This window comes from Homo sapiens, chromosome 10 (assembly GCF_000001405.40).
Source record: "Homo sapiens chromosome 10, GRCh38.p14 Primary Assembly".
In the NCBI taxonomy this organism is placed as follows: domain Eukaryota; kingdom Metazoa; phylum Chordata; class Mammalia; order Primates; family Hominidae; genus Homo; species Homo sapiens.
In genome coordinates this window covers 13,076,209-13,103,069 of record NC_000010.11, presented here as the reverse complement: position 1 = coordinate 13,103,069, position 26,861 = coordinate 13,076,209, and the positions used below count along the sequence as shown (strand labels likewise).

The 26,861-nt window shown below is 45.5% G+C and overlaps 2 protein-coding genes across 5 annotated transcripts in view, besides 5 other annotated features; one reads left to right on the top strand and one right to left on the bottom strand.

Annotated features, from left to right (window-relative positions):
* The window catches only part of OPTN (optineurin), a 38,227-nt gene extending 35,239 nt beyond the window's left edge, over nucleotides 1–2,988 (bottom strand). For 3 of the 4 annotated variants that reach the window (NM_001008211.1, NM_001008213.1, NM_021980.4), the window contains exon 1: nucleotides 2,768–2,988. The gene's annotated coding sequence lies outside the window, so the exon portion shown is untranslated. The remainder of the gene's footprint in view (nucleotides 1–2,767) is intronic. The other variant, NM_001008212.2, reaches the window with a different exon arrangement.
* Nucleotides 2,122–2,251: an enhancer, noted in NCBI's record as "active region_3049". NCBI's record gives its function as "activates an Ori minimal core promoter by ATAC-STARR-seq in GM12878 lymphoblastoid cells {active_cell/tissue: GM12878}" and the evidence as "EXISTENCE:reporter gene assay evidence [ECO:0000049][PMID:35858748]".
* Nucleotides 2,532–3,101: a silencer, noted in NCBI's record as "silent region_2150". NCBI's record gives its function as "represses an Ori minimal core promoter by ATAC-STARR-seq in GM12878 lymphoblastoid cells {active_cell/tissue: GM12878}" and the evidence as "EXISTENCE:reporter gene assay evidence [ECO:0000049][PMID:35858748]".
* Nucleotides 3,081–26,861, top strand: part of CCDC3 (coiled-coil domain containing 3) — a 203,365-nt gene continuing 179,584 nt past the window's right edge. Inside the window, exons 1-3 of the mRNA NM_001282658.2 lie at nucleotides 3,081–3,564; nucleotides 3,761–3,986; nucleotides 4,468–4,545. The gene's annotated coding sequence lies outside the window, so the exon portion shown is untranslated. The remainder of the gene's footprint in view (nucleotides 3,565–3,760; nucleotides 3,987–4,467; nucleotides 4,546–26,861) is intronic.
* Nucleotides 3,572–3,631: a silencer, noted in NCBI's record as "silent region_2149". NCBI's record gives its function as "represses an Ori minimal core promoter by ATAC-STARR-seq in GM12878 lymphoblastoid cells {active_cell/tissue: GM12878}" and the evidence as "EXISTENCE:reporter gene assay evidence [ECO:0000049][PMID:35858748]".
* Nucleotides 4,056–4,359: a mobile genetic element, noted in NCBI's record as "direction; reverse".
* Nucleotides 4,067–4,103: a non allelic homologous recombination region, noted in NCBI's record as "10p13 CCDC3 proximal Alu-mediated NAHR sub-region, recombines with the 10p13 CCDC3 distal Alu-mediated NAHR sub-region within the 10p13 CCDC3 distal Alu-mediated recombination region". NCBI's record gives the evidence for it as "EXISTENCE:nucleotide sequencing assay evidence [ECO:0000219][PMID:26740941]".

The following is a 26,861-nucleotide window of genomic DNA, read 5'->3' as shown; positions in this document are numbered from 1 at the left end:
CCCCAAGGCAGGAACCTGGGAGTAAGGCTTGATTCTTCCCAGCCCCCTTTTCCCCAAGTCTAATGGGTCACCAAATGCCATCACCTCTACCTCCTAAATATTTATTTTTTCTTTTTTTTTTTAAATTAAGACTCAGTCTCACTCTGTCGCCCAGGCTAGAGTGCCGTGGCAAAATCTCAGCTCACTGCAACCTCCGCCTCCCAGGTTCAAGCAATTCTCCCACCTCAGCCTCCCAAGTAGCTGGGATTACAGGTGCATGCCACCATTCCCAGCTAATTTTTGTATTTTTAGTAGAGACAGGGTTTTGCCACGTTGGCCAGGCTGGTCTTGAACTCCTGATCTCAAGTGATCCACCCACCTCGGCCTCCCTAAGTGCTGGGATTACAGGCATGAGCCACCATGCCTGGCCCTTCTAAGTGTTTCTAAAATCCACTGCCTCCTCTCCATCCCCACAGGCTTAGTTCAGGCCCTTATCTTGTCTGTACCACAGCCATGTTGACCTCCACAAAGGACAGGGGTTCTGCCTATTTTGTCCACTGCTGTATCCCCAGGACTGAGAACATTACTTGCCACATAGAAGGCAGGACTCGGTAAATATCTGTTGAATACATTTTAACAGCCTCCTAAATGACTGGCTTTCAGCCCTGTCAATTTCAGTCCTCTTGCCCTCATGGTTTCTTTTGCAATATGAGGTCATTCCCCTGAGTCCACCCTTCCCATACACGACAGACTTTCAGTTTCTTAACAAGACAAACGTGGCCTTTCAGGGCCCAGGCCCAACTGACCCACCAGAGTCACCTCCTGCCACCAAAACACTCGTACCCAAGGCACGTTAAAGAGCTCACGGTTCCCTGCATTCTTCTGTCTCTGCGTCCTTGCCTCCCTTCTGCCCTCTGCCCGAAATGTCTGGCTCCCCTTGTGTCCTGGCAAACTTCCACTGGACAGATCAATGTCCAGCTTAAATATGATGTCCTGTGTCATATGAACTGTTCCCTACTCCGAGCACCCAAGAACACTCTGCATTTCCACCTCCTCCGCCCATTCTGAAATTACTGCTATCGTCTGCCCGTCTATTTTCTCTCCATGTTATTCTTACTAGAGACTGGCACATAGCAGGCTTGCAGTAAATGTTGGTTGAAATGAAATGAAAATATAGCATAATGAGGTATTTTTAAGTCTAATACCTGTAAAATGCTTTCTGCTGTGTAGGTGACAAACTCAGCATGCCAGTATTGTTAGGAGTTTCTCCACAGTTCCACGGCATTCACTTCCAGATTCTCAAAATCCTCCTTTCTAACTTATTTGAAAAATTAGAAGTGTTTTCTGTCACTGCAAAGCCATCTGGGTATCACTTCATAACACAGATTCTAATGCTCCTCATACACATGTCAAAGTGGAAATAACAAAAACTTTTAATTTTTTCTTTCTAAATGAAATATTTTTTTAAAAAAAAGTTTAATTTTTTTCTTTTTCCTTTGGGTTTTCTATTTCATAAATTCCAAAGAACATATATCAAATATGCCAAATCTCTATAAAACAGAAGGTGTATTTCATGGCCAGAATACTTATGCGCCTCTACCTAAGTAAGGGCGGGGGTTCGGCAGGACATAATACAGTGTCCAGTTGCCCTCGAGAATAAAGTTTGGTTTTCCGGGGGTGGGTGGGGGGGTGGGGGGGTGGAGGTTAGGTTAGTTATATTCCTAGCATAATATGCAACCTAAAGGTTAGTTTATAAAAAAAGAAGCTGTTACTTTTATTGTGTTGTACGTAATATATAAAGAACGCCTAAAATTGGCCCAGTGGAAAAACAGATGAATTATGCCAGGACTTAAATCAATGATCGTCCTCTGTCTACAGGTCACATTTAAACTTGCCTTGTCCACTCCAGGGCAATCCCTGGCCTTGGGGTCTGCCCTGGGACTTCTCCAGCCCCCGCCCCAAAACTGGGCCTGTCCTGGGAGGCAGCCTGGCACCACTAACTCTTCTCTCCCTGGGTCAAAAGAGCAAGGTGGGTTCTTCTGTTCACACAGCCTGCACCTTGCTAACCAGATCCAAAGGCTTCTGAGGTCCTCACATTGCCTTACTTTTCTATGCTTTCATTTTCCATTTCATCCTTACAAACAGTTCCTTGGTGTACATTTCCATACAACAGTTTTCCTGCTGGTGGAGGCCAGGTCGGAACCTGGGTTTCATTTTCTTTGAGCGATGTTTACTTCCTGTAGCTTATGCATTTCGATGGCAAAAACAATTCCTTTGGGGTTCTCGGCCTCATCAAATATTCTCTCTATATAGAGTGTACACACTCTCCTAGACACAGCAGTCTATGTGGATTCCCACCGACCCTGGGCACCTCATTCAGCTCGGGTAGTGGTCCCATGTCTCCCACAGGCGTGTCTGTAACCACCTCCTTATGGCGAGGAACTGGCTGCGGAATCCTTCCCAGCCTGCGGGAGGACGTCACCTCCAAGTCTCTGGGTGACTTGTAGAGGGGTTACCTGCGGCCAAGAGGCCGGCCCTGGACCCTTCTTGGGCCCACCCTGTGTTCACTACCCACCCTCTCCCACCAGGTCAGGACCCGCCGAGGCTTGGGGATCCTCCCAGGGCAGCCGTCTCGCGGGAGGGCCGCCCCACCCCTCGCCACCCTCACCCCGACAGGCTCCGGGCCGCGGGGCAGGGCGGCGGGTACCGTTTTCAGGCCGCGGAAGCGCCCGCCGGGAAGGAGCCGCCGCCCCCTCGCCCACCGCTGCAGCCCCCTGCCCTGGCTCACCTGCCGCCCGGCTTGGCTTCGCTCAGGGTCACTGTTTCCTCGGCATCGTGCCGCCTGGAGAGAACTCCCGACCGGGATGGGACGCTGACCAGGGAACCTGCCGGCGGGCGGCGGCGGTGGCGGAGGGGGCAGCCGGGACTGGGGTGCCTAGGGCTGATGCGCGGCCTGGCGACCCCGCCCAGCGCGGCTCAGCTGACAGCCAGCCGCTCCCTGCCCGCGCCGGGGAATTTCCCGGGCCCCGCCCATCCCATACCCCGCCCATCCCCCCCACCCTGCCCATTCCATACCCCACCCGACCAAGGCCCCGCCCCTCCTCTTTCCTGCGTCCGCCCCCAGCTACCCACCCTCGCTGTCCGTGCGGGGTCGAGGCTGGGACCCGGGTGAACAGGGACTGCTCTAAGGCGTCACTGTGACGGCGTTAATCAAAATAAATCATTAATCAAATGCAGTGTGCGGAGTTCGTCTTCCCCGTGTCTTCCCGCAGATCCCGTAGTGGAGGCTGGAGCCGCAGGGGGTCGCTGCCGCCCACAGAAAGAGGAGAATGCCAGGCATCCTCGGAGGGAGGCCTCCATCTGTGTTTTTTGAAAAAAGGTTAACATCTAGACATAGTTAACTGAGCATACATAGCTTTCCACTCGTTTTTGCTTTAAAATACACTCAAAAAGCAGAAAGCCTGCAGGATGCTTCTTGGGCTCTTGTTGCGGACGAATAGGCTCGGCTATTCTTGTTGCTGAAGAATAGCCTCTGCTGGTGTGGAGGAGGGAAGCTGCCCCCGGATTAGACAGCAGGATGACAAGGTAGGAGCGAGAGCCGCCCTATGTGCATCCAGAGTACCCGGGTAGCGCTGCAGGGATGGGAGGGAGGGAAGGAGGGAGGGGGAGAGAGAGAGAGAGGGAGGGACGGAGAGAGGGAGAGAGGGAGGGAGAGAGGGAGGGAGGGAGAGAGGGAGAGAAAAAAAACAAAACAACAACAACAAAACCTAATCTGAAACAGGAAAAAGGCAGATGCGCCCTCTCCTGGTATCTCCGAAGGATTCTGCTTCGCTGTCTGGACCTCCTGCTGCCTGGCCAAGCCTGACTCTCAACCCTGCCCCTGAGGCTAACCCCAAGAGCAGGGCAGAGAAGCAAGCAAGTCAGCGACTGCCCCAGACCCAATTCCGGGCCCTCGAGTTGGTGTGGTGTAGGAGGGGCAGATGAGGCTAGAGGCTGCTTTATAAGGAGTGAGCCTGGGGGTGGGAGTGGGGAGAAATAGAGAATTTAAAAAAATTCTTTTTATATCAGTGCAGGAGGGCCAGGCGCGGTGGCTCACGCCTGTAATCCCAGCACTTTGGGAGGCCAAGGCAGGCAGATCGCAAGGTCCGGAGTTCGAGACCAGCCTGGCCAATATGGTGAAAGCCTGTCTCTACTAAAAATACAAAAATTAGCCGGGCATGATGGTACTCTCCTGTAGTCCCAGCTACTCGGGAGGCTAAGGCAGAAGAATCGCTTGAACCCGGGAGGCAGAGCTTGCAGCGAGCCGAGATCATGCCACTGCACTCCAGCCTGGGTGACAGAGTGAGACTCCGTCTCAAAAAAAAAAAAAAAAAAAAAAAATCAGTGCAGGAAATAACTGATCATTCATGAAAAGGGCTTGGAAAAATATATACAGAGAGAAATGGAATGACGATCTCTAATTTTTGTTTATCTACTGGGATAATCCAGGCAGAAAAGACGGTGTCACAGCTGTACCCTGGGATCGGCAGAAAAGGGTCCCCCCGGGGCCTGTAAGGGGTGCCTGCGGTAAGTCGTACTTCACTAGGCTCCTTTTACTGTTTAAAACCCTATAGGTGGGGCACGGTGGCTCACACCTGTAATCCCAGCACTTTGGGAGGTCAAGGCAGGAGGATCGCTTGAGCCCAGGAGGGAGAGGCTGCAATGAGCTGTGATTGCAGCACTGCACTCCAGCTTGGGTGAGAGGGAGACTTTGTCTCAAGCAAAAACAAAAACGAGAACAAAACAACACTATGAAAGTGAATTAAAATGAGCATCAGTGAAACTCAGAGCCAAGAGAAGAAGGTCACCCACAAGCTGCCCATGGCTTTGGTGTGGGAGGCTCGAGGTGAGTTTCTGGTACAGAAAGCAGTCAAAGTTGTTTTCTCCTGATTCCTTGCTCTCAGTGGTGGGGTCGGGGTGGGGGGTGCCCTGAAGCACTGCACACACACATGCACACACACTCCCCCGACAACCACTTCTTAGCTGTAGGACCTTGACCAAGTTACTTCATCTTACCCTTCCTCATTCCCTTTATCTGTAAAATGGGGAGTATAGTACACTCCCAAATCCAGAAAGTTCTAAGGACCAAACCTCTTTTCTGACCAGACCCAACTGATGGAAAGCTATTTACAGTCTTTATTTAGATCCCTTGATGTGATTTTTAAATTTGTTTTGTGAAGGAAAATCGAATAGTTGATAGGAGAACTGCGTCAGACAGTGTCAGGGTGTTATGTGATATAAATCCCATTTATTGAATAGCCTTTTGAAAATCCCCAGAATTCTGGACTCTAAAGCAGAGCTTGCCCCAAAGGTTTTATTTTATTTTTTGAGGTGGAGTCTCACTCTGTTGCCCAGGCTGGAGTGCAGTGGCATAATCTCAGCTCACTGCAATCTCCACCTCCTGGGTTTGAGTGATTCTCCTGCCTCAGCCTCCCAAGTGGCTGGGATTACAGGCGTGTGCCACCACACCAAGCTAATTTTTGCATTTTTCGTATTGATGAGGTTTCGCCATGTTGACCAGCCTGGTATTGAACTCCTGACCTCGGGTGATCCACCTGCCTCGGCCTTCCAAAGTGCTGGGATTACATGTGTGAGCCACGGTGCCCAGCCACCCAAAAATTTTAGATAAGGCCTCTGGACCCACAGCCCTCACCTAAGGATGCTGAGAAGATTAAAGAGGAAATACGTCTTCAACACCTAGAAGAACGCCTGGCTCATGGTGTTTGTTGCTGTTGCTTGTGTTAGAGCCGGTTCTGTTTCTTAGCCTGGATCATCCCGTTTGGTGACTCCATCTTCCTGCACACTTCCATGGGTAGATGGAATCTAAATGCAGCGAAAAAACTGAAATAATAGCATGCTCTTAGCTGATTTGTTGATGTGGTTTTGTGGTGGGTAAATGTAGAGCAGTGTGGGAAGGTTTTTAGTGAGATCCTAATCTGGGTTTGATGTTCCTTGTGTTCCCTTTCCACCCCAATCTCCTCTGTTTGGAGTTAGCAACGAGTCCCTTTGGGCTTCCTACCTTCAGGAGCGTTGGCTGGACTCCTGGCAACAGCTCTTAGAAGTACAGCCTTTCTTCTTGTCTTTTGAGAAAGCCTGATCTCAATACATCCATGATCTACCCCAGATGTCCTGGAGGAAGAGCCAGAGCTGGGTGGGGTGGAGGCTTTCACAACAGTTGGAGGGAGGAGTGACTCCCCCGCCCCCAGATTGGGAGGAGGAGTGGGATGGTGGTCTTATGAGCATCAAGGACTCAAGCCTCAGTCCCTGCAGCACCCAGACAGACAGCAAGCTCTTGGGATGCACCTACTGGACTTTGGGAACCTCCCGCAGATTCTGCTGCCCAGGCTTGTCATTGGAAACAGCAGAGACTGTTCCCTAGAAGAACCATTTGATAATGAGGGTATCAGTGGCAATGTTGCTGGGCTGAAAAATAAATGGCCCTTACTTCAATGGGTACCAAAAGCCCTCCTGGAGTTTTGCATGGCCGTAGGGAAGGAGACCTCCCCTCTCCAGACCCCAGTGGTGCCCGAAAATAGGTTTCCGTACACCCCTGCAGAACTGGGTTTAAAGAAAGTAAAGAGGCCCAGGGCGGTGGCTCACGCCTGTAATCCCAGCACTTTGGGAGGATCGTTTGAGGTCAGGAGTTCAAGACCAGCCTGGCTAACATGGTGAAACCCTATCTCTACTAAAAATATAAAAATTAGCCAGGCAGTAGTGGTGCGTGCCTGTAATCTCAGCTACTTGAGAGGCTGAGGCAGGAGAATTGCTTGAGCCTGGGAGTCAAAGGTTGCGCTGAGCCAAGATGGTGCCACTGCACTCCAGCCTGGGCCATGGAGTGAGACTCTGTCCAAAAAGAAAGAGAGAGAGAGAGAGAAGGAAGAAAGGTAAGAAGGAGGGAAGGAAGGAAGTAGAGAGAGAAAGGAAGGAGGGAAGGAAGGAAGGAAGGAAAAGAAAAGAAAAGATATGTAATATTTTTATGTGCATCTGAGGTGGTAGACTAATATTCGTACTTGCTACCCCAGATGCCAAAGACTACATATGCTATGACTCCATATACATTAAATGTCCAGAAAAGGAAAGTAGAAAAAGACAGAAATCAGACCAGTAGTTGCCTGAAATTGGGGGTGGCTTTGAACTGCAAAGGAACTCGAGGGGATTTTTGGGGGATGATGGAAATATACTAAATTTGAATTGTAATGATGGTTTTACAACTTTTTAAGTGTAATTGAAAGCCATGAATCATACATTTACAAATGGGGTGAATTTTATGGCATGTGGATTATACCTCAATAGAGCTGTACAAACACCACCAAAAAGAACACGACCTAATAATTATGTCCAATAAAGCAGGGGTCCCCAAACCCCGGGTGGTGAACCAGTACTGGCCTGTGGCCTCTCAGGAACTAGACCGAACAGCAGGAGGTGAGCAACGGGTGGGTGAGCATTATGGCCTAAGCTCCGCCTCTTGTCAGATCAGCAGCTGCATTAGATTTTCATAGGAGCGTGAACCCTATTGTCAACAGAACATGCAAGGGATCTAGGTTGCGTGCTTCTTATGAGACTCTAATGCCTGATGATCTGAGGTGGACCCATTTCATCCCAAAACCACCCCCCCACCCACCACCATCCATGGAAAAATTGTCTTCCATGAAACCAGTTCCTGGTGTCAAAAATGTTGGGGACTGCTGCAGCAAAGGGTGTGCCCCTGCTCCTGTGAGGCCACTGGTGTGGTCGCTGCATGAATCATCTGCCCTATGGTTGACCTTGGTCTGGACTTTGTCTCAGCTTTAGTTTGATTCAGTTCATCACTGGTTCCAAATATTCCGAGGATGAGTTCCTTGGAAAGTTAAACAGAGAGTTATGATATGACCCAGCAATTCCACTTCTAGGTGTACACTCCAAAGAAACTGAAAACAGAGACTCAAACAGGTGCGTGTCTATGCCTCTAATAGGTTGCTTTCCTTTCCCTGAAATCCAGCATGAAAGCAACTCCCTGTATGAGAAGCAAGGTGTATGGTTGAAGCCTCCATCAGAATGAGGCTCTGGGATTAGGGTCCAACCTACAGCCTCAGCCAAGTACCCAGAGTCCCAGGGACCATGGCTCTGCTTTGAGACAAGCCTGTTCACGGTGTGTGTGCTGTGCTAAGCTCCTCCTTCCTCTCCTTCCTCCCATGTTTTTTGTTTGTTTGACAGAGCATCTTGCTCTGTCACCCAGGCTGGAGTGCAGTGGCATAGTCGTGGCTCACTGCAGCCTCGAACTCCTGGGCTCAAGCAATTCTCCCACCTCAGCCTGCCAAGTAGCTGGGACTATAGGCATGCACCACCATGCCTGGCTAATTTTTGTATTTTTTGTAGACATAGGGTTTCACCATGTTGCCCAGGCTGGTCTTAAACTCATGACCTCAAGTGATCCTTCCACCTCGGCCTCCCAAAGTGCTGGAATTACAGACATAACTCTCTGTGCCGGGCCTGCCTCATGTTTAAAAATCTTGAAATAGGCCGGGCACAGTGGCTTACACCTGTAATCCCAGCACTTTGGGTGGCTGAGGTGGGCGGGTCATGAGGTCAAGAGATCAAGACCATCCTGGTCAACATGGTGAAACCCCATCTCTACTAAAAAAACAAAAATTAGCTGGGCATGGTGGCACACGCCTATAGTCCCAGCTACTAGAGGCTGAGGTAGGAGAATCTCTTGAACCTGGGAGGTGGAGGTTGCAGTGAGCCGAGATCGTGCCATTGCACTCCAGCCTGGGTGAGTATCATCATCATCATCATCATCATCATCATCATCATCATCATCATCATCATCTTGAAAAGTAAACTCACTGGGAAAGAGCCAGGTATTTACCCCTTAGGTTATGGTTGGCCCTCTGTAAATAATAGATAAGAATGCTGCTTATTAATTACTTCCTATGCCTGTCCCATTAGAACCTGTCTAATCCCTGCCGCCTTTTGTACCAAATCAAAGCACAGCACCGATGAAATGTTAAGTCTTTGCTTCCTTGTTTTGCTACAAAACTGTCATGAGTTCCTTTAGCAAAATTTTCTGTTTAAGTATTAATTAGCCAGAGCTGGTGATTTGGGAAAATAATCACTGTAATGCACCACAGTTCCTCGTCATTGTCTGAAAAATACTATCATTATCTTCTTTGCATGCCTGAGGAGTGAAAAATGGCCTGGCTGTCTAATTTTAGACATAGTTTTAGCTTCTTTGGATTAAATAATTGATCAGTAGTAGGAAAGTACAAGTGATTTGTCTTTTTTCCATCTCACTTATTTTTTTTCCAAACTAAGGTGTCTCACTTCTCTGAAAAAGTGCATGGTGGAGTGAGGGAGGACACAGAGACCTGGGTATCAGGCTACCTCGGCCCTACCTGAGAACTCACCCCTAGGCCTTGACCTCTTCATCAGTGAGGGAAGTCAGGGGCTAAGATAGATAACCTCTTAGCTTCTCTCCAGCTTGAAAAAAATTAGAATTTGTTTTTCATTTCTTATATTTGGTATACAATTTTAGTAGATGCCAAATTAATTTGAATTTAAGCCTCTTCCTTCTGTAGAGGTTGACTTAATACTTGGCTGGTGATATGGTTTGGCTGTGTCCCCACCCAAATCTCATCTTGAATTGTAGCTTCCATAATTCCCGTGTGTTGTGGGAGGGACCTGGTGGGAGATAATTGAATCATGGGGGTGTTTTCCTCCATACTGTTCTCATGGTAGTGAATAAGTCTCACGAGATGTGATGGTTTTATAAGGGGAAACCCCTTTCACTTGGTTCTCATTCTCTCTCTTGCCTGCCGCCATGTAAGATGTGCTTTTCGCCTTCCGCTATGATTGTGAGGCCTCCCCAGCCACGTGGAACTGTGAGTCCATTAAACCTCTTTTTCTTTATAAATCACCCAGTATCAGGTATATCTTTATCAGCAGCATGAAAACAGACTAATACAGCTGGTTAAATTGTCATAAATGATTTTGCGGTTTGAAAAGTCAGTAACTCCTTTGTTTTTGAAAAAAAAAAAAAAAAAAAAGGTGAGGGGTTCATACATGACTTTCCACTAGATCACAATACACCTGCCTTAGCTAGATTGTCTGTGCCTTTTATACCCACGAAAAGTCAACATTTCTCTCACCAGGTTGCCTTGACCCTTTTCGGCTTTGCGGGCAGAGTTCCTGCTCCCCTGTTATAGGCCAGGAGACAGTCATTAAATTTGTAGGCACATTGCATTGTCTTCTGGAGCAGTAACACAGATTTCTGGGCGGCTGGTCTCATCAGATCTGCACAGCTGGATGCCAGCAACATTTTGCTTCTTTCTTTCCTAAGGCCTATGGTTCACTTCTCCAGCTGCTATATCTTTAAATTTTGCAACTGGTCACCCCTGTGTTATTCCTGACCTCATCCATTCCTTTTTCTGAATCTACTGGGAGCCAGGGGAGAAGATGCCTTAGGTCACACGGGGGTTACTCCAATGTGAGTTAGCTTTACAGAAAGCAATTCTTACCAAGTTAATTTGATCTGACCCAAGGGAGGCAGAAAGAAATCCCAGTCATAACAGACTTCTTGCAGAGACAATTGGATATTCATGGACTATTATGGCAAAGGTGGCCAAGTTTTGAAGGGTTGGCTGTGAAAACTCCTAGAGGAAGATCTGTTAGTGAACTTGGAAGCACTTAGGCAGTATTTCCCATTGCAACGATTTCAGAGACTTCAAAAGCTGATCTTACATAAATTTAGAACTTTCCCATTCACTGTGTCTTATTATAATTCTGGGAAGTGGCTCCATTCTGTTTATTATAGAAACAAGAGAAGAGTCTCTGTGAATCTTTTTATAAAATGATTTCCTGTCTACCTTGGTTCCCATACTCACGAATTGTTTAATTCACCTTCAGCACAAAAGTATATTTTAGTTGATTCTGGCTTGGTTGGCTCAAGCGAACTTTCTTTGTATGTTCACAGTGTGCCCGCCTCCACCACCTTTGCTGCAGCTATCTGCACCCTGCACTCTTTCTTCTTTGCTCTTATCTGCCACCCTCCCCTCTCCTCCCACCATCAGCCCTTTTCACTGCAAGGCTGTATGACACAACATTGACACTTTGGTGTCCTTTCAATTTCAGGTGGCATCTTTCCAGAGCCTCTGGCATTTAGGATTATTTCTAATTCTGCAATAAAAACCTTGTCTGCCAAAGGGATTTCAGGATCTGCCAGCAAGGAGGAATTTTTTTTTTTTTTTTTTTTTGGATTGGGCTTTTCTCAGTAAGCTTGAAATCAGACACTTAGGGAACTTCCATCTTGGCTACAAAAAAAGGTTATGTATTTGACTCTGTTATTTAAAAGGGGTTATGCTTGGAAGCTTTTATGCAGATGGAGGGGAGAGAACTTTAGGATGATGAGATGTACCTGAGGAGATGAAGGGAGTTGTTGAAGGCGAACATTTCTGCGTTGGGCGACTGAATGGAGGGTAGCAGTATTAGCTGAGATGGTGTTTTTGTCCATCCTGGCTGTTATAACAAAATACCATAAACAGAGTGGCTTATAAATAGAAATTGATTTCTCACAGTTCTGGAGGCTGGGAAGTCCAAGATCAAGGCACTGGCAGTGTCTGGTGAGGGCCTGCCTCCTGGTTCATAGACATCATCTTGCAGTGTCCTCATGTGGTGGAAGGGTTGATGCAGCTCTCTGGGGTCTCTTTCATGAGGGCACTAATCTCATTTGTGAGGGCTCTCCTCTCATGACCTAATCACCCCCCAAAAGGCTTCACCTCCTGTGATGGCTAATATTGAGTGTCAACTTGATCAGATTGAAGGATGCAAAATATTGTTTCTGGGTATGTCTGTGAGTGGGTTGCCAGAGGATATTAAGATTTGCTTCAGTGGACTGGGAGAGGCAGGCCCACCCTCAATCTGGGTGGGCACCATCCAGTTGGTTGCCAGTGAGGCTAGAAAAAGCAGGCAGAAGAAGGTGGAAGGGCAGACTTGCTGAGTCTTCCAGACTTCATCTTTCTCCTGTGCTGGATGCTTCCTGCCCTTGAACATCAGACTCCAAGTTCTTCGGCCCTTGGACTCTAGGACTTACTGCAGTGGTTTGCTGGGGGCTCTCAGGCTTTTGGCCACAGACTGAAGGCTGCACTGTCAGCTTCCCTACTTTTGAGGCTTTGGGACTTGGACTGAGCCACTACTGGCTTCCTTGCTCCTCAGCTTCCAGACAGCCTGTCATGGGACTTCACCCTGTGATCGTGTGAGTCAATTCTCCTTAATAAACTCCCTTCAATATATGCATCTGTCCTTTTACTTCTGTCCCTCTAGAGAACCCTGACTAATAACACCTCCTAATACCCTCACCTGCCGGTGAGGATTTCAATCTATGGATTTTGGGAGGACACAAACATTTAGACCCTAGCAGATGAGAAACCCAGGACAGGCAGCTGCCCTGGGGGAAGGAGATTAGTTCTGAGTAACTTGCATTACTTGTGGGATAGGTGAATGAAGAGGTCCACACCTATTTGGAAAAATGGGCCTGAACCTCAGGATAGAGATTAAGCTTGGAAATATGGACTTAGTCCTTCTCAGAGACCTCCTCTAAAAGGGCTGAATTCTAGCACAATTTGCAATTGCAAAAATGTGGAACCAACCCAAATGCCCATCAATCAATGAGTGGATAAAGAAATGGTATGGCCAGGTGCGGTGGCTCAAACCTGTAATCCTAGCACTTTGGGAGGCCAAGGCAGGTGGATAACGAGGTCAGGAGATCAAGACAATCTGGCCAACATGGTGAAACCTTGTCTCTCCTAAAATACAAAATAAATTAGCTAGGCATGGTGGCACGCACCTGTAGTCCCAGCTACTTGGGAGGCTGAGGCAGGGGACTCGCTTGAACCTAGGTGGTGGAGATTGCAGTGAGCTGAGATCACACCACCGCACTCCAGCCTGGTGACAGAATGAGACTCTGACACAAAAAAAAAAAAAAAAGAAAGAAACGGTGATATATATATATATATATATATATATATATATATATATATATATCTAACGGAATACTACTCAGCCATAAAAAGGAATGAATTAATGGTATTTGCAGCAACCTGGATGAGATTGGAGGCTATTATTCTAAGTGAAGTAACTCAGGCATGGAAAACCAAACATCGTATGTTCTCACTCACAGCAGTGAGGATGCAATGGCGTAAGAATGACACAATGGACTTTGGGAACTCACGGAGAAAGGGTGGGAGGGGGGTGGGGGATAAAAGGCTACAAATTGGGTGCAGTGTCCACTGCTCGGGTGATGGGAGCACCAAAATCTCACAAACCACCAGTAAAAAACTTATCCCTGTAACCAAACACCACCTGCTCCCCAATAACCTTTGGAAATAAAAAAATTAAAATTTAAATTTAAAAAAATGGCTGAATTCTAGAGAATTCCTCCAATTTAAGGGGGGGTGCTGAAAGAAAATAAAAAGTTGGAGAGGAGAGAAGAGGGAGCATCCAGATAAGAGAAAGCGAAACTAGGAGAGAGCAATGTCCCCGAAGTCAAGTGAGGAAAAGTATCAGGAAGGAGAGGGCATTGAAGGTGTCCGGGGCCAGAGTACCCCGAGGAATGGGGACAGAAAAGCAAGTTTGAGAATTGAAGACTCTAATCAAGTGATGGGACAATAGTCCCAGCAACTTCAAAGAATATAACAATAGTACTAAGTTGTTTACTTGCATTCTTTATATGATTCATATAAAGAATTCATAATAAGTGTTAAACATAAAGAAATGTTCACTTACAAATATTCATAAATAAGTGTTCACTTACAAATATTCATAAGTGTTCATTTATAAATATTCATAAATAAGTGTTAAACAAATAAAGTTACTACTTTAAGACGACTCTTTCTAAAGAGTTAGCCACTATCTGTAAGCTCTAAGATGTATTTTATATGGTCCGCTGTGTAGTTTTTGGATCTGAATCAGAACCTGGAGAATTTGAGGAGGGAATTTGTCGTAGACCTGTTCTACATATATCTCAATATCCAGTTAATATTTCTTTCTTCTTTTATTTTTTTTTTTTTTTGAGACAGTCTCACTCTGTCACCCAGGCTGGAGTGCAGTGGCACGATCTTAGCTCACTACAACCTTTGCCTCTAGGGTTCAAATGATTCTCCTGCCTCACCCTCCTGAGTAGCTACAGGTGCCCGCCACCATACCTGACTAATTTTGGTATTTTTAGTAGGTTTCACTATATTGGCCAGGCTGGTCTCGAACTCCTGACCTCAGGTGATCCTCCTGCCTTGGCCTCCCGAAGTGCTGGGATTACAGGCGTGAGCCACTGCGCCCAGCTAATATTCAGTTAATTTTTTAAAAATGCTTTCCTCCTTTCCGTCTTGTCTCCTTAATGCTGCTTAACGCCTCATTTGCTTCTTTTGCCTGTGCTTTTGGAGACAGGGCAGGCAGGTGAGCGGCAGCCTGTCTCATTCCATTCCCTCGGTAGCCTCAATTTTTTGCAGTGTGCCATCTACAGCTTAGTTTTCATCTCTAGTTCTCATATTACTTTTCAAGATCAAAAACCTATTTCTCAATATGATTCATGCTCCTTGGAGACTTGTGCTAATTATAGTTTGATGATATTGACTCTGCTGGATTTGGGGCGATGTCATTTTATGACGTCCCTTTCTTGTGTTTATCAACACTGGTTTGCTCAATTCACGTTTCCTTTTCATTTATTCTAAGAGTTACAGCTCTCCAATAGAATTAGATTCTTTCTATCTTTAGAGCAGCATGTTAATTTTTTTTTATCCTTCTCAACATTATTTCTAAATTGTTGAGTCTTTTTAATGATAACTAAAACCAACACTACTTTTACAATGACTCAATGGTGAGTCAAAATTCTTGTATCTAAGTTTGCTAACATAAATTTACTGTAGATTAGTCTTTTGCTAGGATTTGACTGGGGCGGCTGTGTACAGTTGTGCAGGCTGTTCACTGCATCCCCAAGGGGATGAATGCAGGCTGAAGCATGCCAAGTCATGCACTTTGGTGTGAAGCTGCGTCTTCCCAAGGAAGTAACTCCTTTCTCAAACGCACACAAAGACTTTTTACCAACTAGTGGAATCCTGGATCTGATCATTTTATACAGATCCTCAGCTTGCAATGCTATCCGTGAAGTCCTTGCCAAAAGCTTCCTAATGTGAGCACATCCAAAGTCTGGAGGACCACAATTGCTAGTGCACCAACCTTGTAGATCTCTTACCTTCAGGCTGTAGAAAAGCATTCCAGCCCATTGCAGAGTACATAGGAAAGCGGCGGCTATGGCTTCTCTATGCTCCTAGCTCTCTGCGCCAGTTTCTCCACTGACCTTAGATGATACTTCTAAGTATCATCTTCTAAGTATCTAAGGATAAGCCCCAACATAGCTTATCCTTTTATAGTAGGGAGGAAAACTTCTACCCCTTAGGACCTCCTGTTTTTCCCCAGACTTCCATAGCCCTTCTGTGCTTCGATCTCACCCGCCCATTTCCAGGGTCCAGACTTCTCTTGTGCTGGTTTTTAGCCTTCTATCTGGTCTTCTGTTATAAGGTGCACTGCTAAGAGGAGTGGACATGGAGAAGGGAGAGGGGCAAAGAGGGTGGGCCAGATATCGTCAGCACTGTTCCTAGCACCATTTTTTTTTTTTTTTTGAGATGGAGTTTCACTCTTGTTGCCCAGGCTGGAGTGCAATGGCGCAATCTCAGCTCACCGCAACCTCTACCTCCTGGGTTCAAGCAATTCTCCTGCCTCAGCCTCCTGAGTAGCTGGGATTACAGGCATGCACCACCATGCCTGGCTAATTTTGTATTTTTAGTAGAGACTGGGTTTCTCCATGTTGGTCAGGCTGGTCTCGAATTCCCGACCTCAGGTGATCCACCCGCCTTGGCCTTCCAAAGTGCTGGGATTACAGGCGTGAGCCACCATGCCCGGCCTTGTTCCTAGCACCTTTTATGCTCTTCTCTGTATCTTAGGCCTTAGAAGCCTAGGGACTATATTTCTGAAATGCCTTTGCCAACAGGCTTTAGGATACAGCTGAGAAGATGTGTCTGTGCCAGGTTTGAAAAGCTGAGGCTGCAACAGGTGTGTGGGCTTCCAACAGATGAATCTGCAGCCCCTTTCATGTTTCCTTAACTGTTATTAGCCCAGGGCTTGTAGGCATCTGGGACTACTGGCAGTGGTTTTCTGCATTTTACTCACCTCTGGGTGGCAGGTGCCGCTTCCTGACCCCCTGGACCAACCACAGCTTTGGTGACAAATTTGAAAACTAGGATTGAATTCCCTGAAACTCATCGTAGAAACCTTTTACAGAGGCCGGGCGCGGGGGCTCATGCCTGTAATCCTAGCACTTTGGGAGGCTGAGGCAGGCGGGTCACGAGGTCAGGAGATCGAGACCATCCTGGCTAACACGGTGAAACCCCGTCTCTACTAAAAATACAAAAAATTAGTGGGGCGTGGTGGCATGTGCCTGTAATCCCAGCTGCTGGGGAGGCTGAGGCAGGAGAACCGGGAGGCGGAGGTTGCGGTGAGCTGAGATTGTGCCACTGCACTTCAGCCTGGGTGACAGAGCAAGACTCCATCTCAAAAAAAAGAAAGAAACCTTTTGCAGAGAGGATTCAGAGTTTTATTCATAACTCCCAAAATATTCCAAACAATTGCCTTAAATCTTAAATATTGATGTGAATATTTACTCAATGACTTGGAATTGTTATGCTAACTTTGGAAATATCTCAAAAGAATGATTATTCATCTACTTTGCATTTGAAACTTACAAATTTTGGGTTTCACTTCCTTTCATTTGTTATTCATATAAGAAGTATTTACCAAGTAAAAGCTACTTGATTATAAATCCCCAAAGGGCCTGGCTCCATGAATTATTCTGTTTCTCATATGCGCCATCTTTCCTGCTTCCCTTGGCCTAAGAACATATGGAAGTTTATACCAATCTAAAAATAATCACTAAATAACAAGGCCTCTCTTGGTTCATATTTTCCCTTTATGACCACTTTTTCTAATTAATTATCTTTTCATCCAAACTTCTTCAATATATACTTGGTCTCTTGAATTTCTTTCTTTCTTTTTTTTTTTTTTAAGAGGGAGTCTCTCTCTGTCACCCAGGCTGGAGTGCAGTTGCACAATTTTGGCTCACTGCAACCCCCAGCTCCCGGATTCAAGTGATTCTCCTGCCTCAACCTCCTGAGTAGCTGGGATTACAGGCATCTACCACCACACCTAGCTAATTTTTATGTTTTTAATAGAGATGGGGTTTCGCCATGTTGGCCAGGCTTGTCTCAAACTCCTGACCTCAGGTGATCTGCCCACCTTGGCCTCCCAAAGTGCTGGGATTATAGGCATGAGCCACTGCACCTGGCCTCATGGTCCCTTGAATTTCTGATGTTTTATGGAATATTTGAAAGTTTTCTGCCTGGAAAGGAGGGAGGATTATGGATCAAAAAGTTTGAATTAAACAAAATGTTGGAGACTGCTTTCCACGGTCTTCAATATGCTGATATGCATTACAAAGCCCCACAACGGAGGTGGGGATGGGGTCACGGATTTCAGTGCTTCCTGAATGCTTTGGACTGAAAATCCATCTGCTGTGTCCAAAATCGCTAAGGACCTCCCGTTGTTAAATTCAATGGGCATGTAACAGGGTGTGGAATTGTTGTTAGCAGAAGAAACTGACATGTGAAAGTTGCCAGCCATTTCTATTTCTGGCATGGGGACACTGAGTCATCTTGAAGCTGACTTCTTTGGGAAGAACCACTGGAGTGGCTCCCTTTAGTGACAGAGCCGTAAAGTTTCTGGGGTGCGCACACAACAGCACGCTCACTCAATATTCCCTTGGCTGGGGCTGGGACCCAGGCTTGCTAGGCAGACTCCAGTGCCTTGATCTCAGGTTGCTGGGGTGGTGGTGGCAGTTTGCCTGGAAGCCAGAACACTTTCTGGAAGGAAGGATATTGACACTTCAACTATTCTCTTTGTTGTCAGGATCTTCAGGGGGCCTCAGAAAATAGTTCTCTTCTTCCCTGCCTGGGTTCTGAACAAGTGTGAAACCAGAGAAAGGCAGATGAGAGATTTAAAACTTTTTTGTATGTGACTGACAAAGGCTTGGTTGGAGGGCGTGATTTTCTGTTGGGGAACGTCACCTGCTAATGGGGTGCTCTAGCATTTTCCAGATGTGTCCACACAAGCCTGGCCCCTGCACCCATACTGTGCTCTCCTTCCTCTCCCTAGACAATCTCACTCCTTCTCATGGCTTTGCTCACCTCCTCCCCACATCTTCAGACCTCTGTAATCCACTGATTGCTGGCAACTTTCTGGGCATCTCAAAATCAGGATCTCACAATGTTACTGGAAAGGAGTCCCGATCTAGACCCCAAGAGAGGGTTATTGGATCTCGTGCAAGAAAGAATTCAGGGTGAGTCCACAGTGCAAAGCAAAAGCAAGTTTATTGAGAAAGTAAAGTGGGGCCGGGCGCGGTGGCTCATGCCTGTAATCCCAGCACTTTGGGAGGCCGAGGCGAGTGGATCACCTAAGGTCAGGAGTTCGAGACCAGACTGACCAACATGGAGAACCCTGTCTCTATTAAAAATACAAAATTAGCCAGGTGTGGTGGTGCATCCCTGTAATCTCAGCTACTTGAGAGGCTGAGGCACAAGAATCGCTTGAACCCGAGAGGTGGAGGAGGTTGTGGTGAGCAGAGATTGTGCCATTGCATTCCAGCCTGGGCAACAAGAGTGAAATGCTGTCTCAAAAAAAAAAAAAAAGAAAAGAAAAGAAGGTAGAGTGGTGAAAGATGGCTACTCCATAGACAGGGTAGGGCGTTCCCGAAGGCAGAAGAAGAAACATGTCCACCCTAGGTATAATACTCATTTATGTAGGATAAAGAAGATCATGGGGAGATGTGCTCTGCTACAAGGGTTTGTGATAAAGGATTAATTTTCTTAATGACTATATCTTGCAAGAATCGATATTACTATCTTTAAAGCAAAATTAGGAATGCTTCTGTTCTCAAGATATTGGGATATCAGGATGTTATATATAAAATGTTTATTCAGAAACAGAATGCTTGTTCCTTGGTACCATAAGGAAAAAAAAATCAGCATTTAGACAAAAAGTTTTCTCAGCAAGGTTATTTTACTTTCTGCAGAAAGGGTGCTCCTCGCAGATGGAAAAATGGCAAGAGCACACCTGAATAAAGGAGGGAAGCAATTTTTATCCCTTACGCAGCTTGTCCCTGCTACTCTGTCCTGTCTCCATTGGCTGGAGCCAGACCTCACAATCTAAACTGAACCCAATTGGCTGACAATTTAAAACTTCTCTAAATAGGTAAAAGCAATGGAGAACAAAGGAAAAGAGGAAGTTGCTTACGAAAGGACTTAGAAAAGTAATAACATTCCCAAATAAGGAAGGGGCATAGGCTGTGAGCTGGGACATGCCTGTGAGCACCTCCAGCACAGATATCTTGGTTAAAGTACAAGGACATAGAATGTACTATGTGCCTGTGAGCACATTTAACAGCTACATAGGATAGGGCTTAACAAAGAGTTATTAGCACAAATCAAGGAAGCTTGAAGGAAGTTAGTCTTTAAAAGAAACTATTATTTCTAACACTTATGATTTATTCTTTAACAAAAAGGGAAACTGTGAAGAGGAAACTTTTTACTTTCTACGGTTCCCTCCTCTTGATTTCATAGTTTTTTCCTCTGCAAACTTTCTTAACATGTCTTGTTCTAGCTATTTTGCTTGAGTTTTTAAAAGAAAAAGCTTTTCTGGTTGATGAAATGCCAGGGTAAAAGGGATAGCCAATTGAACTAGAGTGCAAGTACTGCTCTAATTGTTTGGCAGAATGTCCAGTAAAGGTCCTCTACAATACTACCATACATCTGCTTGGTGATGAATAATGGTGGACTGATGGGTCAGCTCTTGGAAGTGCCTGAACTCACTGCTTGTTAAGTCTCCAAGGAATGCCAAATTTTCCCCTTGTCGTTGGAGAAATGAGGTAAAATTGGTCTTGAAAGATGGAGGCTGTGTGGGCAGCAAGCCATCCAGGTGCTGAGGCAAGAGACCGAGGGCACAAGCTGTTCCAGTATAATAAAGAAAACACATAGAAGAGGAATAGTTGTACTAGAAATAGGATATAGATATGATTATATATGAATATTATTAATCATTAGTTTGTAGCATTACTCTTTATTCCACTGTTATAATAATTTCTGTTCTACAATTATAACCTAGGAAAAACCAGGCCATACAGAGATAGGAGCTGAAGGGGCACAGTGAGAAGTGACCAGAAGGCAAGTGTGAGCCCTCTGTCACGCCCGGATAGGGCCACTAGAGGGCTCCTTGGTCTAGCGGTAACACCAGTGCCTGGGAAGGCAACCGTTACTTAGCTGACCTTGGTCTAGCAGTAATGTCAGTGCCTAGGGAAGGCACCCGTTACTTAGCAAACCGGGAAAGGGAGTCTCCCTTTCCCCAGGGGAGTTAGAGAAGACTCTGCTCCACCACCTCTTGTGGAAGGCCTGACATCAGACAGGCCTGCCCGCAGCCATCCAGAGGCCTAAACGTCTCCCTGTGATGCTGTGCTTCAGCGGTCACGCTCCTGGTCCACTTTCATGTTCCACCCTGTATACCTGGCTCTGCCTTCTAGATAGCAGTAGCAGAATTAGTGAAAGTACTAAAAGTCTCTGATATGCAGAAATAATGGCGTAAGCTGTGTCCTCTCTCTCCGCCTTGGCTGTCAAACAGGGAAGGGCCGCCTGTCCAGTGGACATGTGACCCACGTGACCTTACCTATCATTGGAGATGGCTCACACTCCTTACCCTGCCCCCTTGTCTTGTATCCAATAAATAACAGCACAGCCTGGCATTTGGGGTCACTATCAGTCTCCACATCTTGGTGGTAGTGGTCCCCTGGGCCCAGCTGTCTTTTCTTCTATCACTTTGTCTTGTGTCTTTATTTCTATGATCTCTTGTCTCTGCACACAGGGTGAAAGACCCACAGACCCTGTAGGGCCGGTCCCTACAAGGCTGGATGGCCCTCGGGGGCTGACCCACAGGGTACTGCATTTTAGGAAATAGCAGAGAGAGTTTGGCACAGTTCACTGTCACAGGCTGTAGGATTTTGAAAAAGAGCTACCAGGAAGTCCATGTCTTGTCGATTAGAGGATTATCTGAGTGGAAAGGGGACAACCTGGACCTCTGGCCTACCACGCACACAAGCGTAACGATTGCATTTATTTAGAGTGCAGATGGAATATTTAATCCATTTTAGCCAGGCATTTACATCCTGATACCTTGTCTCAATTGTTCTTGTTTGCCTTAGGTTTTTTACTTTTACTATAGAGACTTTGGTCTTGTCATTGTGTCTGGGAGGAGTGATAACTAAACAGGCATTAAAAGTAGTAACTTGAGGTGAGTTAGATTTAGTTACCTTAATAAGATGGAGAGTAGTTAAAGGGAAGAAAATAAAAAGAGAAGATAGATTAAGTTTTCGTAGCTTTAACTTGGTAGGGCTTGACCCTGGAACAATGGCCCATGACTCTGATGGTGATGATGCTTTCTTGACGCAGGTATGATGTGTCCATCCTTTTCTGCTGTGTGAACGGCAGTCTCAGTGGTTAGCAGCACAAGGTAGGGTCCTTCCCAGGCTGGCTCAAGTTTTTCTTCTTTCTGACCTTTGATGAGGATGTGGTTTCCAGGCTGGTGCTGGTGTACTGGAAATTCTAGGGGTGGTACCTGTGCTAAAAGACTTAGTTCTGAGGGAAGGGAAAGTGGAAGATAAACCAAGTATATAATTTCTGAGAAACTGATCTTTTGTTTTAAATGTGGGGACATCAGCAGTGGAATGTAAGTAAGGCAACCTATAGGTATTTTTTTTTTTTTTTTTTTACTTTATAGTTCCTAGTGTCTTCTTGTTGAGAAATTTCCTTTTTTAAAAATGTTTACTTAGTTGTTTCTGAGGGACCCTTTGGGGCTTCTTATTTTGTTAGGACTTTGCATATCTTGGGGCTTGAGGCCCCATGGTGATGCCTCCTGCCCCATCCCTACTTAGTGTTGCCTAGGGGACCTGGTGGCCCTGCCCCTCTCTCGAGGTCTCGGCCTCTCTGTGGCCCTCATCACCCCTGTGCGTTTCGGCCTTGGGGATGAGGGGCCTTGTGACTCACCCGGCCAACCCTAGACTTTGCTCCTGCCCAAGCCCCCACTGTCTGGCCTCTGGCCTTGGGCTGGGCTGTGCTGTCTAACAACTGCCTGGCCCCCTCCCTGACACAGGAAGTGTCTGTCCGTGGCTAGGTCCCCCTGCTGGCTTGTACCCTGGCCTGTCTAGGAGCCACTGGAGGTGGAAACTTGTTGGTATTAACTCTGCGCTGGAGGGCCCCTAATGGGTTCTTTGATGCAGTTGGAATAAGATTTTCTTTATAAGGGGTTGGATAATATTTCCCTTTGGTTTAGCAATATTTATTTTTCTTTTGAATTTTCTTTAGCACCTTTTTTTAACCTTTTAATGTAGGTAAAAATTGATATTCTTATGCCTCCTTATAATCCTTTTACTAAAAGTATATTTTATTTTCCTTACATATCTTGCACATAAACTGTTCCTTTAATAGTTTTACATTCAGGAGGCCTAATTACTTTTAAATTATACAACATTTCTTGCATAAATTCTCTTTTGTAACATTTTTTATGGCTTTCACAGACAATCTTTGACATGCTTTAACTTTCTGACTTCCTTTTACACTATTTCTCTTCCTAGTCTTACCTTCTGTGTCTTTCTCTGATCATTGTCTCTTCCAGTCTGTCACTTATTCTCTCCCTCTATCTCTCTTTCATTTGCTCGCTCTCGCTCTCTCTCTCTCTCTCTTTGCCATCCCGTTTCCTCTCTCCCTTACACTCAGTCTCTTGGGCTGGGTGGGATCCATGCGGCTGCAGTCTGGGCCCAGGGCTGCCATCGGCCCAGAGGCTCGGCAGATGCCAGGTTCAAGTTGTTTGAGTCGTTAACCCTGGGCCAGAGGGCCCCCTTGTCTTCCCTCCTTATCTTTACATCCACAGCCCTTATAGCACTTTCTTTGACCTTCTTCTTTAAAGTACCTACCTTGCCTTCTTTCTCTTTGCATTCTTGAGTTCCCTTTCTTTTTTTAACCTCGTCTAGAGAACTTTGGAACTTTGCCAAAAGATTTTTGCTTTCTGTCTCTGCCTTTTTCTCTCTCTGCTGCTCTTCCCTGCCTCTGCCAGCCACCCACGCTGCTGCTCTCTCTTCTCCTCCCCCTTTCCCTAGGGAGTGGCAGTGGGAATGGAGCTTAGCCTCTTTCTTCCCCTGAGAAGAGGGGAAAGGGAAGTTTTGAATATCCTTTTTACTACTGGACGTTTGTGTGATGTTTAATCTTCCCCTAATGGGGATTTTTCACCTCTTTTTAACCTCTAAGACATTCTGTCTAAGGAATACTTCACCGCCACCCCCATTCTCCCCCCAACCCCGTGGCTTTTCTTTTCTCAGTCCTGACCTAAGGAATGCTTTACCGCTCCTGCTGTTTCTCTTGCCTTGGTATGTGTCCCAACCAAGGAATGCTTTATGGCCCCGCTTTAGTCCTGCCTGACTAAGGAATTGCTTTACTGGCTCCTCCAGTGTTCCCTTCCTTGGCTCATGCATGAGGTCACCCGGTCCACGTGGTACGTGAGGATCCTTTACTCCAGGTCACAGCCAGTTTCCTTCTGCGTTGCTGAGAGTCCGGGTTTATTCATCACACCAGGTGGGTCTCGATTCCTTACCCCTAAGGCCACAACGCGTGCCTCCTCATGAGAGAGGACTAGAGACCACCCCCGGAGGGGAATGTATCCCCATATGTGCCACCATTTTGTTATATGTAAAATGTTTATTCAAAAACAGAATGCTTGTTCCTTGGTACCATAAGGAAAAATCAGCATTTAGACAAAAAGTTTTCTCAGCAAGGTAATTTTACTTTCTGCAGAAAGGGTGCTCCTCGCAGATGGAATAATGGTGACAACACACCTGAATAAAGAAGGGAAGCAATTTTTTTTTAATTATTATTATATTTTAAGTTCTAGGGTACATGTGCACAATGTGCAGATTAGTTATATATGTATACATGTGCCATGTTGGTGTGCTGCACCCATTAACTCGTCATTTACATTAGGTATTTCTCCTAATGCTATCCCTCCCCACCTCCCCCCACCCCACGACAGGCCCCGTTGTGTGATGTTCCCCACCCTGTGTCCAAGTGTTCTCATTGTTCAGTTCCCACCTATGAGTGAGAACATGTGGTGTTTGGTTTTCTGTCCTTGCGATGGTTTGCTCAGAATGGTGGTTTCCAGCTTCATCCATGTCCCTACAAAGGACATGAACTCATCCTTTTTTATGGCTGCATAGTATTCCAGGGTGTATATGTGCCACATTTTCTTAATCCAGTCTATCATTGATGGACATTTGGGTTGGTTCCAAGTCTTTGTTATTGTGAATAGTGCCGCAATAAACATATGTGTGCATGTGTCTTTATAGTAGTATAATTTACAATCCTTTGGGTATGTACCCAGTAATGGGATTGCTTGGTTAAATGGTATTTCTAGTTCTAGATCCTTGAGGAATAGCCACACTGTCTTCCACAATGGTTGAACTAGTTTACAGTCCCACCAACAGTATAAAAGTGTTCCTATTTCTCCACATCCTCTCCAGCACCTGTTGTTTCCTGACTTTTTAATGATCACCATTCTAACTGGTGTGAGATGGTATCTCATTGTGGTTTTGATTTGCATTTCTCTGATGGCCAGTGATGATGAGCATTTTTTCATGTGTTTTTTGGCTGCATAAATGTCTTCTTTTGAGAAGTGTCTGTTCATATCCTTTGCCCACTTTTTGATGGGGTTGTTTGCTTTTTTCTTATAAATTTGTTTAAGTTCTTTGTAGATTCTGGATATTAACCCTTTGTCAGATGGGTAGATTGTAAAAATTTTCTTCCATTCTGTAGGTTGCCTGTTCACTCTGATGGTAATTTCTTTTGCTGTGCAGAAGCTCTTTAGTTTAATTAGATCCCATTTGTCTATTTCAGCTTTTGTTGCCATTGCTTTTGGTGTTTTAGTCATGAAGTCCTTGCCCATGCCTATGTCCTGAATGGTATTGCCTAGGTTTTCTTCTAGGGTTTTTATGGTTTTAGGTCTAACATTTAAGTATTTAATCCATTTTGAATTTATTTTTGTACAAGGTGTAAGGAAGGGATCCAGTTTCAGCTTTCTACATATGGCTAGCCAGTTTTCCCAGCACCATTTATTAAATAGGGAATCCTTTCCCCATTGCTTGTTTTTGTCAGGTTTGTCAAAGATCAGATGATTGTAGATGTGTGGTATCATTTCTGAGGGCTCTGTTGTGTTCCATTGGTCTATATCTCTGTTTTGGTACCAGTACTGTGCTGTTTTGGTTACTGTAGCCTTGTAGTATAGTTTGAAGTCAGGTAGCGTGATGCCTCCAGCTTTGTTCTTTTGGCTTAGGATTGTCTTGGCAATGCAGCTCTTTTTTGGTTCCATATGAACTTTAAAGTAGTTTTTTCCAATTCTGTGAAGAAAGTCATTGGTAGCTTAATGGGGATGGCATTGAATCTATAAATTACCTTGGGCAGTATGGCCATTTTCACGATATTGATTCTTCCTATCCATGAGCATGGAATGTTCTTCCATTTGTTTGTGTCCTCTTTTATTTCGTTCAGCAGTGGTTTGTAGTTCTCCTTGAAGAGGTCCTTCACGTCCCTTGTAAGTTGGATTCCTAGGTATTTTATTCTATTTGAAGCAATTGTGAATGGGAGTTGACTCATGATTTGGCTCTCTGTTTGTCTGTTATTGGTGTTTAGGAATGCTTGTGATTTTTGCACTTGATTTTGTATCCTGAGATTTTGCTGAAGTTGCTTATCAGCTTAAGGAGATTTTGGGCTGAGACGATGGGGTTTTCTAAATATACAATGATGTCATGTGCAAATAGGGACAATTTGACTTCCTCTTTTCCTAATTGAATACCCTTTATTTCTTTCTCCTGCCTGATTGCCCTGGCCAGAACTTCCAACACTATGTGTAATAGGAGTGGTGAGAGAGGGCATCCCTCTCTTGTGCCAGTTTTCAAAGGGAATGGGAAGCAATTTTTGTCCCTTATGCAGCTTGTCCCTGCTACTCTGTCCTGTCTCCATTGGCTGGAGCCAGACCTCACAATATAAACTGAACCCGATTGGCTGACAATTTAAAACTTCTCTAAATAGGTGAAAGCAATGGAGAACAAGGGAAAGGAGGAAGTTGCTTACTAAAGGACTTAGAAAAGTAATAACATTCCCAAATAAGGAAGGGGCATAGGCTGCGAGCTGGGACATGTCTGTGAGCATGTCCAGCACAGATATCTTGGTTAAAGTACAAGGACATAGAATGTACTATGTGCCTGTGAGCATGTTTAATAACTACATAGGATAGGGCTTAACAAAGAGTTATTAGCACAAAGCAAGGAGGCTTGAAGGAAGTTAGTCTTTAAAAGGAACTATTACTTCTAACACTTATGATTTATTCTTTAACAAGGGAAACTTTGAGGAAGAAACTTTTTGCTTTCTACACAGGACACTCCTACGTCTGGGTCTGTTTAGTAAAGGTTATCAATCTGTTTCCTTAGCCACAAACATCTAGAGGCTAGGAATATCTAACTTTCGGGGAGGGCAGCCCAGCAAGTCCCAGCCTCATTTTTCCTAGTCCTCACCCAAGATGGAGTTGCTCTGGTTTGAATGCCTCTGACAACAATCCTAAATGTATTACTGTTGGCTGAATTGCTTTATCCTCTCTATTTTTCGTTTTAATTCCAGCCATCAACA